This window comes from Homo sapiens, chromosome 5 (genome assembly GCF_000001405.40).
Source record: "Homo sapiens chromosome 5, GRCh38.p14 Primary Assembly".
NCBI classification, from domain to species: Eukaryota; Metazoa; Chordata; class Mammalia; order Primates; family Hominidae; genus Homo; species Homo sapiens.
In genome coordinates this window covers 10315889-10337740 of record NC_000005.10, presented here as the reverse complement: position 1 = coordinate 10337740, position 21852 = coordinate 10315889, and the positions used below count along the sequence as shown (strand labels likewise).

The 21852-nt window shown below is 47.0% G+C and overlaps 1 long non-coding RNA gene across 3 annotated transcripts, besides 2 other annotated features; it reads right to left on the bottom strand.

Annotated features, from left to right (window-relative positions):
• Nucleotides 1-329: 329 nt before the first annotated feature.
• LOC105374651 (uncharacterized) lies at nt 330-21389 on the bottom strand. Of its 3 annotated transcripts, XR_925786.3 has the most exons (5): nt 21349-21389; nt 18474-18661; nt 9352-9447; nt 7298-7772; nt 330-6402 (listed from the first exon to the last, which is right to left on the bottom strand). It is a non-coding gene; the product is annotated as an uncharacterized LOC105374651 (long non-coding RNA). The 3 variants fall into 3 exon arrangements; XR_925783.3 differs by having other exon boundaries at nt 330-7772; XR_925785.2 differs by lacking the exons at nt 18474-18661; nt 21349-21389 and adding an exon at nt 15143-15179 and having other exon boundaries at nt 330-7772.
• Nucleotides 3731-4486: an enhancer, noted in NCBI's record as "H3K4me1 hESC enhancer chr5:10333367-10334122 (GRCh37/hg19 assembly coordinates)". NCBI's record gives its function as "activates a minimal SCP1, AML or CMV promoter by ChIP-STARR-seq in naive and primed H9 embryonic stem cells {active_cell/tissue: H9 hESC(naive and primed)}" and the evidence as "EXISTENCE:reporter gene assay evidence [ECO:0000049][PMID:30033119]".
• Nucleotides 4518-4567: a silencer, noted in NCBI's record as "silent region_15918". NCBI's record gives its function as "represses an Ori minimal core promoter by ATAC-STARR-seq in GM12878 lymphoblastoid cells {active_cell/tissue: GM12878}" and the evidence as "EXISTENCE:reporter gene assay evidence [ECO:0000049][PMID:35858748]".
• Nucleotides 21390-21852: the final 463 nt, after the last annotated feature.

The window sequence follows — 21852 nt, the reverse complement described above, 5'->3', positions numbered from 1 at the left end:
TTTTTTTTTTGAGACAAAGTCTTGCTCTGTCACCCAGGCTGGAGTGCAGTGGTGTGATCTTGGCTCACTGCAGCCGCCGCCTCCCAGGTTCAAGCGATTCTCGTGCCTCAGCCTCCAGAGTAGCTGGGGTTATAGGCATGCGCCACCACACCCAGCTAATTTTTGCATTTTTAGTAGAGACGGGGTTTCACCATGTTGGCCAGGCTGGTCTCGAACTCCTGACCTCAGGTGATTCACCCGCCTTGGCCTTCCAAACTGTTGGGATTATAGGCGTAAGCCACCATGCCCGGCCCCAATGTATATTTCTTACACATACATACACACAGACACACACACACAGACATTTTATTTATCTTAAAACTAGTCAAGTGCAGTGGTGAGAAGCGGGGAAAGAGTAGAAGGAGTTTGATCTGTAACTGTCTGGGAACAATCAATTGAGATAACTCACTACCTTTGGACCAGCTGACATTTTCTTACATAACCACAGTACATTTATCAGGATGAGGAAATTAATCTTGACATACCATTATTATATAATCTACAGACCTTATGTAAATGTTGTCAATTGTCTACCCATTTATTTGAAAGTTGAAGACTTTTTTTCAGAAATTATTTTTATTATAGTAAAATATGTGTAAGATTTACCACTTTAACCATTAAAAGTACAACTTATGGCATTGATTACATTCACAGTGCTATGCAGCCATCACAATTATCCATCTCCCGTTACCCCAAACGGAAACTCTGAACACATTAAACACGAAGTCCCCATTTCCCCTCCTCCAAGCTCCTGGTAACCCTCCATCTACTTTTTGTCTCTATAAATTTGACTATTCTTGGTACTTCATATAAGTGGAATGACACGATAATTTGTCATTTTGTGACTGGATTATTTCTCTTTTTTTCTACTTTTTGTTTTGTTTTGTTTTTCTTTTTGAGACAGAGTCTCACTTTGTCGCCCAGGCTGGAGTGCAGTGGTGTGATCTTGGCTCACTGCAACGTCCGTCTCCTGGGTTCAAGTGATTCTCATGCCTCAGCCTCCCAAGTAGCTGAGATTACAGGTGCCCACCACCAATCCCGGCTAATTTTTATATTTTTAGTAGAGACGGGGTTTCACCATGTTGGCCAGGCTGGTCTAGAACTCCTGACCTCAGGCGATCCACCCGCCTCGGCCTATCAAAGTGCTGGGATTACAAGCATGAGCCACCGTGCCTGGACTTTTTTTTTTTTTTTGAGAAAGGGTCTCTCTTTGTCACCCAGGCTGGAGTGCAGAGGCCTGATCACAGCTCACTGCGGCCTCCACCTCCCCTAAGTAGCTGGGACTGCAAGCTTGGGACACCATGCCCAGCTAATTTTTGCATAGGTGGGATTTCACCATGTTTCCCAAACTGGTCTGGAACTCCTGAGCTCAAGCAATCTGCCTGCCTCAGCCTCCGAAAGTGCTGTCTGTGATTACAGGCACGAGCCACCGCGCCTGGCGTGTCTGGATTATTTCATCGCACACAGTGTCCTCAAGGTTCATCTATGCCTTAGTATGATTCACTTCCTTTATAATTAAAACAAACCAACAAACAAACAAACATTTTTCATCTGGCCCACTATTCAGAATCCACACTGCACTTAGTTGTCAGGCCTCTTTAGTCCTCTTCAGTAAGAAACAGTTCCTCAGTCTTTGTCAAAAATGACATTGACATTTTTGTAGGGCAGAAGCCAGTGTTTTAGAAAATGTCCCTCTGTTTGATGTGTTGGTATTTCCTCACAATTGAATGCAGGTTCTGCACGGCCAGCACGAGCACCATGAAGGGCTATTGCATCATGGAGGCCTGCTGCAGCACACCAGAGGCACGTGTTGCCTATTTGTCCCATTGCTGGTGATGTTAACTTTGATCGCTTGAATAAGGTTTGTCAGGTTTCCCCACAGTAAAGTGACTGTTTTCCCCTCGGTCATTACTGGGAATCTCCCTCGTGCAGCGATAGTTTGAGACCATATACAAATCCTGTTTCTCAAACTTTTCTCACAATTTAGCATTCACTGATGATTCTCCCTGACATAATCATTACTATGGTAGTTCCAAGCGGTATTTTCTTATTCCATTATCTTTCTGCGTTTATTAGTTGATAAGAAAGAGTTTTCTTCTCCCTCTTTACTTTTTCATTTATATTACTGTACCTGTAGGTACTAGTGGATTCTTAGACTGTGCTTATAATAAAGTAAGAAGAGTTATAGGCCGGGTGTGGTAGCTCACACCGGTAATCTCAGCACTTTGGGAAGCCGAGGTGAGCCAATCACTTGAGACCAGGAGTTCAAGACCAGCCTGGCCGACATGGCAAAACCCCATCTCTATTAAAAATACAAAAATCAGCCAGGCATAGTGGCAGGCATCTGTAATCCCAGCTACAAAAAGAAAAAAAAAAGAGTTACAATTCAATACTAACATGATTGTTACTCAAAAGATTCCAGATTTGCCCAATGAGAGCCCCTTCAAGCTTTTGTCCTTTGGATGAGTTCCTACCATTCTCTGGGTACTTCCTCACTGTCTGCCAGAATAATATATTCTGGGTTCATCTTATTCCTCTCCAGCCTTAATCCCAGAAGTCGCCATTTCTCCACGGAGCCCTGGTTCCTTTTAGTGGACCATCTTAGTCAGGAGAATCATTCACGGTGTCCTCTTCTGAACACACCAGCCTTAGCAAGACGGCACTTCCTCCTTTCAAGTGTTTTCATCAGTCAGCCCTGCTCCTCAGGCTGCTGAATGAGTTCATTCTGGGAAGTGGATTACAGGTGACTTCTTTATGTTTTAAATGTTTGTGTTCAGGTATTTCCTAGGACTCCTATAACAAATCGCCACAGATTGAGGGGCCTAAAACAACACAGATTATTCTTGCACAGTTCTGGAGGTCAGAAGTATGCATAGGGTCACACTGGGCTAACATCAAAGTGTCTGCAGAACTGGGTTCCTTCTGGAGGCTCAGGGAGAATCCATATCCTTGCCTTTCCCACCTTCTAGAAGCTGCCCGCATCCCTTGGCCGGTGCTCCCCTTCTTTGATCCTCGAAGCAAACACATCCCTCTGACCTCTCCTTCTGCCCTCACTTCTCCTCTGCCTCCCCTGCCTCCCTCTTCTAGGACCCCTGTGATCACTGGACATTGTATCCACCTGGATAATCCAGGGTAATCCCCGGTCTAAAAATCCTTAGTTTGCCAGGCGCTGTGGCTCACATCTGTCATCCCAGCACTTTGGGAAGCCAAGGCAGACGGATCACTTGAGGTCAGGAATTCGAGATCAGCCTGGTCAACATGGTGAAACCCCTGTCTCTACTAAAATACGAGAATTAGCCAGGCGTGATGGCAGGAGCCTGTAATCCCAGCTACTCGGGAGGCTGAGGCAGGAAAATCGCTTGAACCCAGGAGGCGGAGGTTACAGTGAGCCGGGATCGCGCCACTGCACTTCAGCCTGGGAGACAGAGGAAGACTGTCTCAATCAATCAATCAATCAATATCAAATAAAAATAAAAAAATCCTTAGCTTGATCACATCTGCAAAGGCCTTCCACCTTATTTATGTATTTATTTTGCCATATAACAGTTTCTAGACATTAGGCCGTGGACATTCTTGGAGGGCCATTATTCTGCGCTATCACAATATATTTTATGTATTTTTAATTAAATAATATAAGTTATTTTTGTAATCTAAAAACAAAACCAGTCATGAGGGAGAAGGCCTAGAAGGAAAGCGCACTCCTGACATCCACCGCCAGCCCCTGGGTCGCCGCTGCCCCTCTGAGGAGGCAAAACCACGCGGCGGCAGGGAGCGTGGGACGCGGCTTTCGTTGGAGCAGACGAACCGCAAGCGCCCAGCGCGGTGGTGGAACCACCTCGGTGCAGCCGGTTACCGCCGCCGTCCGGCCGGCCGCAGTTACCCCGCTCGCCCTGGCCTCGTCCGGCCCCTCCCAGCAGCCCCGGGCAGCCGCGCTGCGCTATCCCCGCAATCCGCGATCTCCCGCGTTCCCCAAGCCGTGCGGCTCCCACTCCTGTTTCCTTCTCTCCCTAATACAAATACTGCCATTTCCCAGACCTCCCACTCCGCGCTCTTTCATTCTGAGCCGGCTCTCGGCCAGGGGGAGTCAGGGCGCATTCCGCCGACTCAGCGCCCTGAATTCGTGGGTCCCGTTTCCCTCCCCGACACTCTCCATCTCCAGTCGTTCTGGGGGAGCATCGCGCCCACCCAGGACGCAGCCCCAAGTGTCCCCGCGGCCCTGGGCGGCGCCTGTCCTTCTGTCTCCTTCCCCGGCGCCCCACACCCCCGCGGTCTAAGGTCGGCAGCGACCTTGGGGAACCGAACCCAGATGGCAGGTCCCCGGCGATCGAGCGGATTCGGAGTTCGAATATGCTTGGCTTCGGGGGCTCCCAGGACGGCTGGGGTGCTCTGGCGCTAAGAGCGTGCAGGAAGCTTGAAAGAGCTCCTTTGGTGTCACGAGTCAGCTTTTTTCTAGACATGAGTGCCCGGGGTCTGGGCAGTGTTGCAGACCAACCAGCGTCTCACCATCCGCCGGCTTCGGCCCCAGAGGCCCGCAGTGGCTGGCACCTGGCCGCCTGCAGGCGGCCTCCGGGTGAGCCTTCCTCCGGACGCGCCTAGGGGCTCCTCACCCACCTGCCGCTGTGACAGCCCCACCCAGGCAGCCCCCATCACACGCGGGGAGAGAGCAAAGGGGAAACGTAGGGCTAAAGAAAACATACTGAGGCCAAGAGCCGGGAGGTGTTCCCAAGACAATTGTCTTGTGCTTAGAACCGAAAAGATACGGTGGGGCGCGGTGGCTAACGCCTGTAAGCCCAGCACTTTGGGAGGCTGAGGCGGGCAGATCACGAGGTCGGGAAATCGAGACCACCCTGGCCAACATGGTGAAACCCCGTCTGTACTAAAAATACCAAAAAAAAAAAAAAAATAGCTGGGCGTGGTGGCAGGTGCCTGTGGTCCCAGCTACTTGGGAGGCTGAGGCAGGAGAATCGCATGAACCTGGGAGATGGAGATTGCAGTGAGCGGAGATCTCACCATTGCACTCCAGCCTGGGTGACAGTGAGACTCCATCTCATAAAACAAAACAAAACAAAACAACAGAAAAGATACCTGGCCCTCCAAGGATGAGAATGCTGGCAGCACTGAAGGCCTAATTATATGTAACTCACATGCCACAGCAGTCCCTCCTCTCAAGGGCACAAACTCCATGAGTCACATGCTGTGCGACCATGACCACAACCCCCTTTCCTCTCTAAAAAGCCATACCTATTCACAATCACGCTCACGCCCTCCTTTGCCCCAGCTCCTGGCGACCACTAATCTGCTTTCTTTCTCTATAAATTTGACTATTTCTGGACATTTCACATGAATGAAATCACATAATATGTGATCTTTTGTAACTGGCGTCTTGCACTTAGCATGTTTTCAAGGCCCATCCGCATTGTAGCACGAATCGGTCCCTCCTTTTATAGCCAAACGGTATTCTGTCGTATGGGTATATCACAGTTCACTTATGCCTTTGTGGGTTGATGGACATTTGGGTGGTTTCCATTTCTTGGCTATTGTGAATAATGCTGCTATGAGCATTCAGGTATACATTTTTGTGTGGAATATGATTTCAATTCTTTTGGCTATATACCTTGGAGTGGAGTTGCTGGATTATATGATAACTAACATTTTCAGGAACTGTCAAAGACCTAATTTTAGATATTTTGGAAGACGGATGTGGGTCCTGTTCAAAAAGCAACTGCACAGATCTGCAACAGCCAGCACTGGATAGATGACCTCCCAGACATCTAAGGAGAACCCACTAGGTGGGAGGAACTGCTCACTATATTGAAAGGAAGGAGACAGAACCCAGGGAGCGTTCGATCCTGTAAAGACCCCCTTCTTCTCAGCGAAAAGGGAGGCAGACATTCCAACTCCCAGCTATAACCCATTACAGATGTTTCAACACAGAGAGTGCAGAAATCCACAGGAACAGCCCAGAAGCTCATGGAGCTGGGGGCTTTGATGAGGACGTGGAGAGGAGCTTGCCAGCTGAACTAATATTTGCCTTCACCTCCAAGCGACTTTGTGTTTTGGCAGCAAGTCAGAGAAGAGCCTTCTGGGAAGAGAGAGCAGCTTGGGTTAAAGCCCAGCCACGTGGGAGTGCTTGATGTACTTGGCAGTGATGAGAGGAGGAGGGCAGGACTTGGGGGAGACAGGCTTGGAAGGGTAAACTGAGCCATGACTTCAGTGCTATGCTAGGGAGCCTGGACTTGAACCTATAAGCGCTGAGCATCAGTCGAGGACTTCGGGTTGGGCAGGGTGGTCAGCTTGTGTCCTGGAGCCGCAGCCTTGGAGATGGTGAGGGAAGGAGGCCTGAAGATGGAGTCTTGGGGGAGGCTGCAGTTGGGAGAGAGAGACCACGAAGAGCTGAGAGTATACTTGGGAGGGAAGGGGAGGATGGGGAGGAGGAAACAGATCAGAATGTCCGCAGGACTGCATAAAAGGTGGAGGATAGCGAGGGAGAGGGGAGAGCCAGCCGGATTCATCATTTTAGTTATTTTTGTGCAGGGAGAGAGAAATGACAGTGTCTATGACATTGACAGCCCCCAGGGCATATACAGCCCTTAAATGCTTTAACTGCATGACGGTTTCATGCCATTGAGTTCCAAGAAGTTAGCTTCAGAAGAAAACTCAGAACTTGTAGGGAAGTTTGCAAGTCTTTTGGTTTGGGAGAAAGCCTTAGCTGTCTGTCTTGATGTCTTGACTGGAGCGCCCCACCCAGTAGTGACTGCCCAGGAAGGCTCCCATCCTGGCACACACACCACCCCATCCATGCCCAGCAACACATGTGCAAACCCCTCCCGGCTCCTCCTTGCTGGCACTTTAAAGGCCACCTCAGCATCAGCAGAAGTGTGGAGAAGGAAACATTTGTCTCCAGGAGCCACCCTTTTCCTTCCTCGTTTCCTCATTTCTCTGTTTCTTTGTTTCTTCTCCCTGTTTCCGTATTCCTCTGTCACACCCAGAGCTCTCCAGCTGCCTCGTGTCCCGGAAGGACCTGTTCCCAGGGTAGCATCATGTCTCCTCCAGAATTAAGGCCCTGGGCTCTGGCACAGGCTGGTGGGTCACAGAAAGGGCCCATATCTCAAGGGATCAGAGGATAAAACATTCTCAAAGGATGGATGGAGGCTGAAGATCTGGACTGGGTGCTACATAGAGTGGCGAGCTAGGGAGTACTTCCAGGACACCAAGTCCCTCGCTTAAGCCCCTAAGCTTAGGTAAGGACATGACTTACCTAAATGTTCTTGAGAGTCAAGTGCATGGTCAGGGAGAACAGCTAATGCAAGGGCCTTGAAGTGGGAAAGAGCATGAAGAATCTGGCGAGGGTGAATAACTGGCACAGCTGTGTGGGCAGTTCCCCCGCCAGGATATTTCTGCATGGCACTTTCTTCTGAGGGATTTCTTGGAATTCGCCCAGACTGCAGAGGTGGTCAGATGTCAGCATGGTCCTGGTCCCCATCCAAGCATTGCTCCTTATTGCCAGAATGTGACAGGCTTGGCAGCGTGTGGCGACAGGGGCCAAATCTGAGCTGCACGCACAAGGATTATCCTGGTCTTTCTCTGTGTCTTTTGCCCCAGAAAGCTAACAGTTGTCTGGCTGCAGTGCATAATTGTGTTCAGATGTGCTCACATCCTCTGGGGAGCTGGATCCTTTCATAATTCCATAAATTGTGAAATGTTTAGACATTAGGAAACCAAAGAGAGTTGACCTACAATTAGAGAATAATAGTGCATTTAAAATAGCTAATGGATCCCACATTACTTTTCTCTAAGTTGATAGTTAAAATCCCCATAAAAAAACAGGGGGTCAAGGTTCTCTGACTCATCTATAAGTAATTTCTCATAGTTTTGAAATAAGGGTTAACTACATTAAAGCTGAGCTGAATGTGGGCTTCCAATCCAAAATTCATCTTTAGCCGAATTTCATCCAGTTTACTAATGGTTCAGAGCCAAGAGCAATTTAATCAATGTTTATATCCACTTTAAACATCACTAACAATTGTATGGTAGACTGTTACAGCCATGGCCCCTAGTGAATAGTGTCCCTGTGTCCTCACTCCTTTGCAATGTGACTTTGCTGCTTCTCCCGAAATCAAGAGGTGGGACCTATTTCTCTATCCCTTGACTCTGAGCTGGCCTTGAGACTTGTTGTAACCAATAAAATGCAGCAGAAGTGACATTGTGAAGCCTCTGAGAATAGGCCTTAAGAAGTATTGTAAATTCCATTTTTAATCACTTGGAACACCCAGGGTCCACGGATGAAAAGTCCAGCCGGCAGCTGTACCAAGGCCCCAGACATAGGAATGAAGTCATCTAGACCCTCCAGTCTCAGTGAGCCCAGATGAGACCAGCAGAATCGTGAGGAACAATACATTGTTGTTTTAAGCTACTAAGTTTTAGGGACATTTGTTCTGCAGCAGTACATAATTAATGCAAATAGTATCCTAAAAGGTGACAGGATGGATTCATTTTCCTATAAAAATAGACCTCATCTCTAAAAAGAAATGAGACATTTCCAAACTTTCCGGAACAGTAGAGTAGGGTTTCACCTTTGAAATAAGAAAGCAAGGTTGTTCAAGAAAGCCTATGATTTTAGATTCAAATGCCAAAATAAAATACTCTTTACCCACTTAACATGCCTGAGGAGTTTGATCATTGAGACTAAGAGCTAGTCAGGGAGAAAAGAAAAAGAACTTGATGCTGGGCACAGTGGCTCATGCCAGAAGTCAGGAGTTTGAGGCCAGCCTGACCAACATGGTGAAAACCCATCTCTACTAAAAATACGAAATTAGCTGAGCATGGTGGCACATGCCTGTAATCCCAGCTACTTGGGAGGCTGAGGCAGGAGAATCACTTGAACCCAGGAGGTGGAGATTGCAGTGAGCTGAGATCGCACCACTGTACTCCAGCCTAGGCAACAAGAGTGAGACCCGGCCTTAAAAAAAAAAAAAGAACTTGATAAAGGGGTTTGATGATGGTGATTGTGCCTCATTTTGCCCTTTCCAGTGCTTTGCTCGCTCCCAACTGGAAGGAGCCGGAGGCTGCCCTCCTTTGCACTTCACTGCCGTTTGCATTAGTGAAATCGTGCTCTCCCTTTCTGCCCTTTCTTCAAAGCAGCTCTCTCTGCACTAGTAGACATTGCTGTTTCCAAAAGGATGCGGTTTCCCTGTACTCTGTGGTCTCACCCTGACATCATGACATCACTTGCAAGAATTTGAATTAAAACTTATGCCCCCAGGTTATGATTTCAGGAAGAACTTCTCTGTTGTTTTAGTGGAAAAAACCCACCTGATTGGATGATACTCCTTTCATGGGTTCTCCTGAAATTAAGGAATTTGGTAACAGAGTTTATTCCTCTATTTGCCAATTCTGAGCAGCAAATACCTGGAGAAAAAAGAACAAGAAATTATTGTCAAACGTGGTGGGTTCACACCTGTAATCCCAACACTTTGGGAGGCCGAAACAGAAGGATCGCTTGAGCCCAGGAGCCCCAGCTCAGCCTGGGCAACATAGGGAGACCCTGTCTCGCCAAAAAAATACAAAAATCAGCCGGGCACAGTGGCACATGCCTCTGGTCCCATCTACTCAGGAGGCTGAGGTAGAAGGAGAGCTTAGGTCTGGGAGATGGAGGCTGCAAGTGAGCAGTGATTGTGCCATTGCATTCCAGCCTGGGCAGGAGAGCGAGACCCTGTCTCAAAAATTAAAAAAAGGAAAGAAAAGAAAAGAAATTATTGTCTATGTTATATAATATTTGTCTATTTCTGCATTTTACATTATTTTAATTTGCATACTATAAAATGGTCTCACTATGTTGCCCAGGCTGATCTCAAACTCCAAGGCTCAAGCAATCCTCCTGCTTTGGCCTCCAAAGTTTTGGATTACAGGTGTGAGCCATTGTGCCCAGCCAAAATTGACTTTCAAGTTTGGTGTACAGTTCTGTGAGTTTAACAGGTGTATAGATAGTACAGATATATGTATCCACCACCAAAATCAGGACACAGAGCAATTTCCTTCCCTCAGAAAACCCCCTCAAGTACGTTTTTGCTGTCAAACCCACCCCCGACCTCAGCCATTCACAATCACCAGGTTTCCCTTCCTGCAGGGTCACCTTTCAGAGTGACGTATCAATGGAGTCAGGTAGGTGGTAACCTTTTGAGACTGACCTCTTTCACTTATTCATTCATGTTTTAAGATGTATGAATACTTTTAAAAAAATATCTGAGTAGGCCAGGCGCGGTGGCTCATGCCTGTAATCCCAGCACTTTGGGAGGCCGAGGCGGGTGGATCACGAGATCAGGAGTTCAAGATCAGCCTGGCCAAGATGGTGAAACCCTGTCTCTACTAAAAATACAAGAAAAAAAAAAATTAGCCGGGCACGGTGGCCGGCGTCTGTAATCCCAGTTACTTGGGAGGATGAGGCAGGAGAATTGCTTGAACTCAGAGGGCAGAGGTTGCAGTGAGCCGAGATCGCACCACTACACTCCAGCCTGGGCAACAGAGCAAGACTCCGTCTCAAAAAAAAAAAAAAAAGAAAAAAAGAAAAAAAAAAGAAAGAAAATCTGAGTAGTATTTCATTATATGGGTTACTAAGATTTGTTTATCCATTCGTTCACTGAGAGATGTCTGAGTTGTTTCCAGTTAGGGGCAATTACAAATAGAGCTGCTATAAACATGTCTTCATTTTATTTTTATTTTTAAAATTTTATTTTTTCATTTTTTTATTTTTTGGGGACAGAATTTCGCTCTGTCGCCCAGGCTGGAGTGCAGTGGCACAATCTCGGCTCACTGCAACCTCCGCCTCCCAGGTTCAAGCGATTCTCCTGCCTCAGCCTCTGAGTAGGTGGGATTACAGGTGCGTGCCACCACACCCAGCTAATTTTTTGTATTTTTAGTAGAGATGGAGTTTCACCATGTTGCCCAGGCTGGTTTTGAACTCCTAAGCTCAGGCAATCCACCTGCCTCAGCCTCCCAAAGTGCTAGGATTACAGGCCTGAGCCACTGCGCCTGGCCTCTTCATTTTAATTCATAGAACTGTAATGCAATATTCACAGGCCTGGCAATTAGGAACAACAACAACAACAGTAATGCAAGGCCCGGCACAGGCACATTGAGCCCAGGAGCTCAAGGATGCAGTGAGCCATGCTCACACCACTGCACTCCCGCCTGTACAACAGAGCAAGACCCTGTCTCACAAACAACAAATAAACAAAAACCTGTAACGCTGTTGATTTCAAAGCTACTTTGTCAGCAGAAATATTAAACAGTAGTTTATGATACTTTACTTTTTATTTCAAGAATTTACTCAAGAGCCGGGCACGGTGGTTCATACCTGTAATCCCAGCACTCTGGGAGGCTGAGGTGGGTGGATCACCTGAGGTCAGGAGTTCGAGACCAGCCTGGCCAACATGGCGAAACCCTATCTCTACTAAAAATACAAAAATTAGCTGGGCGTGGTGGGTGTGCCTGTAGACCCAGCTACTCAGGAGGCTGAGGTGGGAGGATCAGTTGAACCTGGGAGGCGGAGGTTGCAGTGAGCCGAGATTGTACCACTGCACTCCAGCCTGGGTGACAGAGCGAGACTCTGTCTCAAACAAAAAAAAAAAGGCCAGGTGTGTTGGCTCATGCCTGTAATCCCAGCACTTCGGGAGGCCGAGGTGGGTGGATCATGAGGTCAGGAGATCGAGACCATCCTGGCTAACACGGTGAAACCCTGTCTCTGCTAAAAACACAAAAAAATTAGCTGGGCGTGGTGGCGGGCGCCTGTAGTCCCAGCTACTTGGGAGGCTGAGGGAGGAGAATGGCGTGAACCCAGGAGGTAGAGCTTGCAGTGAGCCTAGATCACGCCACTGCACTCCAGCTTGGGCGACAGAGCAAGACTCCGTCTCAAAAAAAAAAAAAAGTACTCAAGTAGTTTCAGGGGAGGAGTTAAGCTTTTATTTTTAGAAAATCTAGGTGCAACCAGGCCAGGTGCAATGGCTCACGCCTGTAATCCTAGCACTTTGGGAGGCCAAGGCGGGTGGATTGCCTGAGCTCAAGAATTCGAGACCAGCCTGGGCAACATGGTGAAACCCCGTCTCTACTAAAAAATACAAAAAATTAGCTGGGTGTGGTGGCATGCACCTGTAATCCCAGCTACTCGGGAAACTGAGGCAGGAGAATTGCTTGAATCTGGGAGGTGGAGGTTGCAGTGAGCTGAGACCATGCCACTGCACTCCAGCCTGGGCAATAGAACAAGACTCTGTCTCAAAAAAAAAAAAAAAAAAGAAAATCTAGGTGTAACCGCTTACATTAAACAACCAATAGGTTGGATGGATTATAAAGGCCAGCACTGGAGTCAGCTGAATGACTGTATATGATGAAGTGTCATATTTCATTCTGCTGTGTCAATTAAGGGCCTTCAGAGAAACAGAACAAATAGGATGGATGGATAGATAGATACATGTATAGAAAGACAGACAGACAGAAGATACATAGATAGATGACAGACAGAGACAGACAGACAGATAGGGAGATAGACACAGACAGACAGACAGACAGATGGATAGAGTTCCGCCCTGGACTGTGTCCTCCCCAAATTCATAGGTTGAAGCCCTAACCCCAGTGTGTTTGTATTTGGAGATAGGGCCCTGAGGGGCGTGATTAAGAGTAAATGAAATCCTAAGGGTGGGGCTCTAACCCAACAGGACTGCGGTCCTTGTAAGAAGAGGAAGAGGCACCAAGAGATCTCTTGCTCTGCAGGTACACAGAAGAAAGGCCATGTGAGGACACAGCGAGAAGCAAGTATCTGCAAGTCAAGAAGAAAGGCCTCAACAGACACCAGCCCTGCCAGCACCTTGATCTTGGACTTCTGGCCTCCAGAACTGTGAAAGAATAAAATTCTGTTGTTTAAGCCACCCAGTTTGTGGTACTTTGTATGGTAGCCCTAGCAGACTAACATAGATAGAGATTTATTTTAAGGAACTGGCTTATGCAACTATGGAACTTGGCAAGTCTGAAATCTGTAGGGCAGGTTGGCAGGCTGAAAACTCAGGCAGGATTTCTATATTACAGTCTTGAAGCAGAATTCCTTATTCTCAGTGAAGCCTCAGGCTTCGCTCTTGAGGCCAACTGATTGGATGAGGGTCACCTACGTTATCAAGGGTAAAAATCTCCTTTATTTAAAGTCAACTGATTTAAATGTTAATCACATCTACAAATTAACTTCACAGCAACAACCAGACTCGTGTTTGACCAAACTACTGGACACCATAGCCTAGCCAAAGTGATACATAATATTACCCATCACACTGTCCATCAAATTTTAGGAAAGCTCTCGTTTGGAACAGAGATAAGAGATACCTTCCTCCACATTGCTGCCCTTTGTCATCTTGCTTTGTAGATAGAAAAATTAATTGATGACTAAGGGGATTGTTTTTCTAGTCAGCTCACCAAGGCTGCTGTTTGAATAAGCATTGGATCCAGAATCCATTTCTTTGAACCCAGCCACCTTGCTGCAGAGACTGAGAAATCCCGCCTCTATATTCAACTCAGTAAGACTGATCTCTTTGCACAATGAGCTTGCAATGTCATGGTACAGTTTAGGAACACTGAAGTTCACAAACATGATAGTATCTTATTTATTGATTGAATGTTTACCAAGTACCAGGCATTGTTCTAAGCACTTAACATACAATTTAATCTGTTAGTCATACAGTTTAATCCTTAAAATAGTTTGTGTGCAGTAGACACAATTTCTACCCCCTTTTACAGATGAGCAAAGAGGCATGGAGAGTTAAGCACAGCAGCAGAGCTCTGATTTGCACGCAAGCAGTCTGCTCCAGAGCTCAGAGCTCTGCCGCTTAACTACCATGACTTAACACATTTCACAAACCATGACAACTCAAGCAAAGCACTTAGAGTTCACATAATAGTTTTAAATCAAGTAAAATGGTGGTTTAGAGCAGGGCAGTGTAACATGTGATCTGAATTACAGAAAGGTAGGAATTAAAAAAACATTTTAACTTGGTGCATTGTAGTTGGACCTTAAAAAGCATTCAATACATTGGCAGCCAGAAATGGACAAGGGATGGCATGGATTTGTTAAAACGAGGTTTTTGGTATCCTTGAGGGTAGCTTGTAGGTACAGAGGAACTATGCAGATGTTCATTTTGGCTTTATGTTTTGATTTTCAACATATTAAATGTACAAATCCTAAATGTGTATTCTTTCATTAGTCATTAAAGTTTAGGTTATAGATCTCATTTTTCTTATACATCTAGGATACTCAGGAATCTGTTTTAAGAGGTCTTTGGATATTACTTGGTCTTATTTACTAACTTAGTTAATTAAAAAAGAAAAGATTTTTTTTTTTTTTTGAGACAAGGTCTCACTTTGTCACCCAGGCTGGAGTCAGTGGTGTGATCTTGGCTCACTGCAGCCTCAACCTCCTGGGCTCGAGTGATCCTTTCACCTCAGCCCCCTAAGTAGCTGGGACTACAGGCACTCACCACCATGTCTGGCTAATTTTTTTATTTTCTGTAGAGATGGGGTTTCACCATGTTGCCCAGACTGGTCTCCAACTCCTGAACTCAAGCGATCTGCCCGCCTTAGCCTCCCAACTTGCTAGGATGATAAGTGTGAGCCACTGCGCCCAGCCTAACTTAGTTAATTAACCATCTTCAAACCTTTTCAACAACATTTATAAATTTAATGTAACTGATTTCCTTTTAGAGTACTTTTGCTGTCTGAATTAACAACAAAAATTCCCGAATACTAAATAATTATAGGAAATCTAATACATTAAATTTGCAAAGGAAGAAAAACAAATTCTCTCCTGAGCATTTCAATATGGTAAATAAAATGAGACTTCATCCTTAAATCACAAGTCTAAATTAACTATTTACTCATACCTTTTAACTTTATGTTACATGTCTGACCTTTCTAACAGGCCAAATTCCCTTAACTATATTAAGAACATAAAATACCAAAAATGCACATATCCCTATTTAAACAAATTTCATATTAATACTATGGTATGGTTTTGAGTCTCACAAGTTTTCAGTACTTAATTATAAATCTTCTCCAACCAAAAGATACATACCTGTCTGGTTATGGTGGTTCATGCCTGTAATCCCAGCACTTTGGGAGGCTGAGGTGGAAGGATCACTGGAGGCCAAGACTTGGAAACCAGCCTGGGAAACATAGCTAGACCCCACCCATCTCTGCAAAAAATGACTTAAAACAATTCTTCAGGCATGGTGGCGTGTGCCAAGGTTGCTGAGTAGTAAAAAGAGAGATGGCTGGGTGCGGTGGCTCACCTGCATTTCATGATACTGGTAATCCCAGCATTTTGGGAGGCCATGGTGGGTGGATCATCTGAGGTCACGAGTTTTGAGACCAGTCTGGCCCACATGGCAAAACCCCATCTCTACTAAAAATACAAAAATTAGCCTGGTGTGGTGGTGCACACCTGTAACCCCAGCTGCTCCAGAGGCTGAGGCAGGAGAATCACTTGAACCTGGGAGGTGGAGGCTGCAGTGAGCCGAGATGACACCACCGCACTCCAGCCTGGGGGACAGAGCGAGACTCGGTCTGGAAGAAAAAAAAAAGGATAGTTACCATGCTGGTTAATTAAGGCCACTAAGGTCGGGGACTGTAGGCAAACGGGAGTCCCAATGCTGCAGGGATCTCGAATGACTCTTCCCACTGCCATTCGTCATGCAGAGCCCTTTCTACAGTTGCTTTGTCAATGACCCACCCCCATAACCTGAAGAAGTGTTAGCGTGGCCTATGTTGCTACACTTCAGTTATACACTTTGCTTAATTCAAACACCTTTGACTTTAATAGGGATCCATAAATATGTAAATCCTTGTTCCTTTCAATATGAACGAATTTAAAACTTGTTTGAATCTTGCTTTTTCTTATTTTTCAGACCACACACAACTTTTGTGGATATTTAAAATGCTATATGTTTGGAATCGATATAACGCACCAATTTTTTTTTCTTTTTTTTGAGACGGAGTCTCACTCTGTCACCCAGGCTGCAGTGCAGTGGCAACATCTTGGCTCACTGCAACCTGCCTCCCAGGTTCAAGCCATTCTCATGCCTCAAACTCCTGAGTAGCTGGGATGATAGGCATATGCCACGATGCCTAGCTAATCTTTGTATTTTTTGTAGAGACGGGGTTTCACTATGTTGGCCAGGCTGGTCTCGAACTCCCAATCTCTAGTGATCTGTCTGCCTCAGCCTCCCAAAGTGTTGGGATTACAGGCATGAGCCCCCGCTCCTGGTAGATGCACCAAGTTTTGAGGGTATTCTGACTGAGGCCTGGCAAGAATCCTGCCTGAGGTATGAGGTGCTTGCCCTAATACCCAGAATTCATTAATGTGAGCTTATTAGGAAAAAGGGTCTTTGCGGATGTGATTAAGTCAAGCATCTTGAGATGGGATCTTCCTGGATGATCTGGGTGGGCCCTAAATTCAAGAAGTGTCCTTGTAAAAGACAGAAGATGATGCAGCCCACGGAGGGGGACAGAGATTGGAGTGATGCGGCCAAAAGCCAAGGAACACGTGGATCCTCCAGAAGCCAGAAGAGGCAAGAAGGGATTCTCCTTGATATGGTTTGGTTCTGTGCCCCACCCAAATCTCCTGTCAAATTGTCAGCCTCAGTGTTGGAGGAGGGGCCTGGTGGGAGGTGATTGGATCATGGGGGTGGGGGAGTGGACTTCCCCTTTGCTGTTCTCCTCATCATGAGTTCTCAAGATCTGGTTGTTTAGAGTGTGTGGCACCTCCCCCTTCCCTCTCTCTTCTCCTGCTCCAGCCAGGTGAAGATGTGCCAGCTTCCCCTTCCCCTTCCACCATGATTGTAGGTCTCCTGAGGCCTTCCAGCCATGCTTCCTCTACAGCCTGTGGAACTGTCAGTCAATTAAACCTCTTTTCTTCATAAATTACCCAGTCTCAGGTAGTTCTTTTCTTTTCTTTTGAGACAGAGTTTCACTCTTGTTGTCCAGGCTGGAGTACAATGGCATGATCTCAGCTCACTGTAACCTCTGCCTCCTGGGTTCAAGCGATTCTCCTGCCTCAGCCTCCCGAGTAGCTGGGATTACAGGCATGCACCACTGCACCCAGCTAATTTTTTTTTTTTTTTGTATTTTTAGTAGAGATGGGGTTTCACCATCTTGGCCAGGCTGGTCTCGAACTTCTGACCTCAAGTGATCCGCCCACCTAGGCCTCCCAAAGTGCTGGGATTACAGGTGTGAGCCACTGCACTCAGCCACAGGCAGTTGTTTATAGCAATGTGAGATCAGAATAATACACTCCCCTAGAGTCTTCAGAGGGGTCACACCCTGCCAGACTTGCGGTCTTCAGAACTGTGAAAGAATACGTTTCTGTTGTTTGAATCCACCAAGCTTCTGGTCATTTGTTATGACAGCCACAAGAAATTAATATAGGTCTGGTCAGGGGCATACCTGTATGAAGTTGGTTCAGGCATGTGTATTACGAATCTTAAATTGCAAATATAGGCAGGGCGCGGTGGCTCATGCCTGTAATCCCAGCACTTTGGGAGGCCAAGGTGGGTGGATCACTTGAGGTCAGGAGTTCGAGACCAGCCTGGCCAACATGGTGAAACCCTGTCTCTACTAAAAAATACAAAAATTAGTCAGGTATAGTGACACATGCCTGTAATCCCAGCTACTGGAGAGGCTGAGGCATAAGAATCGCTTGAACCTGGGAGGCAGAGGTTGCAGGGAGCTTGCGTCACTGGAGACCGAGCCACTGCACTCCAGCCTGGGTAACACAGTGAGAACCTGTCTCAAAAAATTTTTTAAAAGTTGCTAGAAATCCAGTATGAGAAATAAAAGTGAAATTCTAAGCCTCCTAAGCAACTGACGGTCTCCAGACTCCCTCCTGGCCAAGGGGACCCCAGAGAAACCTTGAAAACTGAGTTCCTGACCATGATGGTATGGAAGGTTGGACACGCCTCATTATACCCCGATGCCCTGGATAACGACCATGAGGCTTTCCTTCCTAGGGGTCTAAACAGAAACCAACCCTTGGGAAAGAGGCTTCACTCCTGGTATCAACCAGCCACCTAATGCTGCCCTGCCCTCATGTGGTCTGGACAAAATAACTGACCGGCATCCTTGCTTAAGAGGACTACTAGCTGCGGAGTAGTTAGATAAGAGACTGCTGGCCACGAAGTCGTTCTGGCAGATCTCTGAAGGATGCACAGTGAGGATTTTCATGTCCTCTGACTCATCTTTTGATGTCAGAGGCCTGAAAACTCCACCCTCGGATCGTGCTAACCCTGCCATTTTTTGAACACAGGTCCCAGGGAGAGGCATGGAGCTCGACTGCACATGTGCCTATGTCTCTTCTCATCAATATTCAATGCTCCTCCCATAGCTTATCAAATGTGTGTATTTGGTACCTCATTCAGCATAAATTCCTGTCTTGTTCTTCTGCCCCTGGAAGGGTCTGTTTCTGGCTTCTGGCTGGAGGCTCTGCTTCTCAGCCTGTCACAATGGCTGCCCTGCAGGCTGCAGCCCTTTATGAGAAGAAAGCTCTTCTTTCTAGGTTTATGAACCTTGTCATTCCTCAGTTGACAAGTGACATTATCTGAAATGTAAAAGGGACAATTTTAAGGATGGAGTTTGCTAGAACTGAAGGTCAGGGTGGATCTGGGCCTCTGAAAGGGATGGGAGCCGGAACCTAAAACATTGGCAGGACCCTCCCTAATTTTCATCTTCTTCATTGTTTCTTCTCATATTAGACCTGCTTCCCTAGCAGAATATGGCCAACCCACGGCTCCTGCATTTATCTGTTACTATTCCCGCACACTAGCTAGTTTACTGTCACCCTAAATCAAAGGTCTAACTTACATCAGGTGCCCACCCTAGTCTGATCCACCATGGTCTCGGGGGCAGGATCTTGCTGTCTAAACATGGCAGCTGCATGCCCACACCTATGGACCAGCAGGCTGATTCTCTGAGAAAAGCAGGCTGGTGAATGTAGCAGCAATCTCGTTTGGCTGTGCGTGCTGCCTAAAAACACCAACCCAAAATGAAGTGCCTGAAAACAACATTATTTATTTTCACAGATCTGGAGGCCAGCTGATGTAGACTGGGCTTGGCTGGACAGTGCTGCTTCAAGGGATGACTCTGGCTGGGGCTCAGGTTCAGGGGAGGACAGCTGTCTGGGAGAAGCCCTTCTCGTGGTAATGGCAGACACAGGAAGGCAGGCCCAAGCACACTAGCATGCTTCAAGCCTCAACTTGCATCATGTATACTAATATCCTATTGGCCAAAGCAAGTCCCATGGCTGAGCCAAGTAGCAGTGAGATCGGAAAAACACCCCTCTTATGAGAACTGGATGGGCCAGGGAGGATTTCTGGGCAATAATCTACTCTACCACATGGTATGAGATATTTAGTAATGGAACCAAGTGATCAAACTTAACACCACGAATAGTAGAGTATCTAGCATGTACCTCCTGATTTATTGTGACAGTTCTTAAGACAGTCTATAAATATTCTTGTCAAAAATGTTTAACCTGAAACTAATCTAGCCTCTACATTTAATTTCTGGTTCACAGGAAATATGGTAAAGGAGTGAGTTAAATGGACACTGTCTCAGTTATCTATTGCTGAGTAATAAGTTACTCCAACACTTAAAACACCAGTAAACAACAGCTCACAAGGTGGCCCAAGAGAAATCAAGGGGAAAGCCACATGCTTTTTATGACCTAGTCCCGGAAGGCACAGGCTTTTACTTTTGCCAGATTCTAGTTATTAGAAGTGACTCACTAAGTACAGCCCACACTCAAGGGGAAGCTGTGTCTTTTGAATGCAGAGAGTCAAAGCATTTGTGGGGCCTGGTGCGGTGGCTCACACCTGTAATCCCAGCACTTTGGGAAGCTGAGGCGGATCACTTGAGGCCAGGAGTTTCACACCAGCCTGGCCAACACTGTGAAACCCCTCTCTACTAAAATTATAAAAATTAGCCAGGTAGCCAGGTGTGGTGGTGCATGCCTGTAATCCCAGCTACTCAGGAGGCTGAGGCAGGAGAATTATTTGAACCCGGGAGGAACAGGTTGCCATAAGCTGAGATCATGGCACATGCCACTGAACTCCGGCCTGGGCGATAGAGTGAGACCCTGTCACGAAAGAGAGAGAGAGAGAGAAAGAGGGAGAGAGAAGGAGAGAGAAGGAGAGAGAGGGAGAGAGAGGGAGAGAGAGGGGGAGAGGGAGAGAGGGGGGGAGAGGGAGAGAGGGGGGAGAGGGAGAGAGGGGGGAGAGGGAGAGGGAGAGAGGGAGAGAGAGAGAGAAAGGGAGGAAGGGAGGAAGGGAAAAAGAGAGAGGAGAGAGTGAGAGAAAGAAAGAGAGAGAGGAAGGGAGGAAGGGAAAGAGAGAGAGGAGAGAGAGAAAGAAAGAAATGAAAAGAAAGAAAGAAGGAAAGAGAGAAGAAAGAAAGAAAAAAGAAAGAAGGAAAGAGAAGAAAGAAGGAAGGAAGGAAGGAAGGAAAGAAAGGAAGGAAGGAAGGAAGGAAGGAAGGAAGGAAGGAAGGAAGGAAGGAAAGAAGGAAGGAAGGAAGGAAGGGAAAAAGCATTGTGGACATATTTTAAAATTAAAATCACCAAAGGGGTTATTTAGGTTAAAAAAGACTACAGAGATAAAAGAACCAAAAGCTGCCAGGCGCGGTGGCTCACGCCTGTAATCCCAGCACTTTGGGAGGCCGAGGCAGGTGGATGACTTGAGATCAGGAGTTTGAGACCAGCCTGGCCAACATGGTGAAACCCTGTCTCTACTAAAAACACAAAAATTAGCCGGGTGTGGTGGCGGGCGCCTGTAATCCCAGCTACTCGGGAGGCTGAGGCAGGAGAATCGCTTGAATCCGAGAGCCAGAGGTTGCAGTGAGCTGAGATCGGGCCACTGCACTCCAGCCTGGCAGCCTGGGCCATAGAGCAAGACTGTGTCTCAAAAAAAAAAAAAAAAAGATAGAAAAAGAAACACACTATGCCACAAGTGGCTACGCTGGGAAGCACCGTGGTGGGTCAAGAAGCAGAAGGAGCAGGGCAAATGTGAACAAGAGGCTTGACTGTGGTTTTTGAATAGGAATGGGCAAGGCAGGATAAGCAGGAGTAGGATTGGTGAGTCTGAATACTTTCGGCAGGCTCCGGGGCATAAGGGCCAACTCTAGTTGTCTGGTACCTGGCCCTAGAGTCATTAGTGCAGGTGGATAGTGGCCCTGAGAGCCCTGATGAGGCAGCCAGGTGGGAAGGGCTCCCTGGCAGAGCCTCGGACCTACCTGCGTACTGGAGCGGAGCCATAGTAGTTCACGCAGTTTGCGGAGGGGAGGAGCTTGGCCCCTCCTCTTCCTGTGTGGAACCTGGAATTCAATCTGCGAGGCGGGAAGCCCACAGGCAGGAAGAACACTCTCTTGCTTTGCTAAAAGTCTCTCTTTCCCATTTTTTTCTTTTTGCCCAATAAACCCCGTTTTTCTCACTCTTCAATTGTCTGCAAGCCTCAATTTTCGTGCCTGTGTGATAAGGACTCCATCTTTAGCTGAACTAAGGAGAAGTCCTGCAACAGTGTGAGAGCTCAGTGAAGGAGGTGGTGCAGTAGGGGCTCTGGATTGGTTGGTTGGCATTTGAAAGGCAGGCACTCTCTCCAGTAGGAACTGGCCAGCCCCAGGAAGGGCAGCCTTTCCAGGGTCCGCAAGGCCCCACCTGTGAAAAAATCAGAAACACATGCTTGGGCCAGGCGTGGTGGCTCAGGCCTGTAATCCCGGCACTTTGGGAGGCCGAGGCGG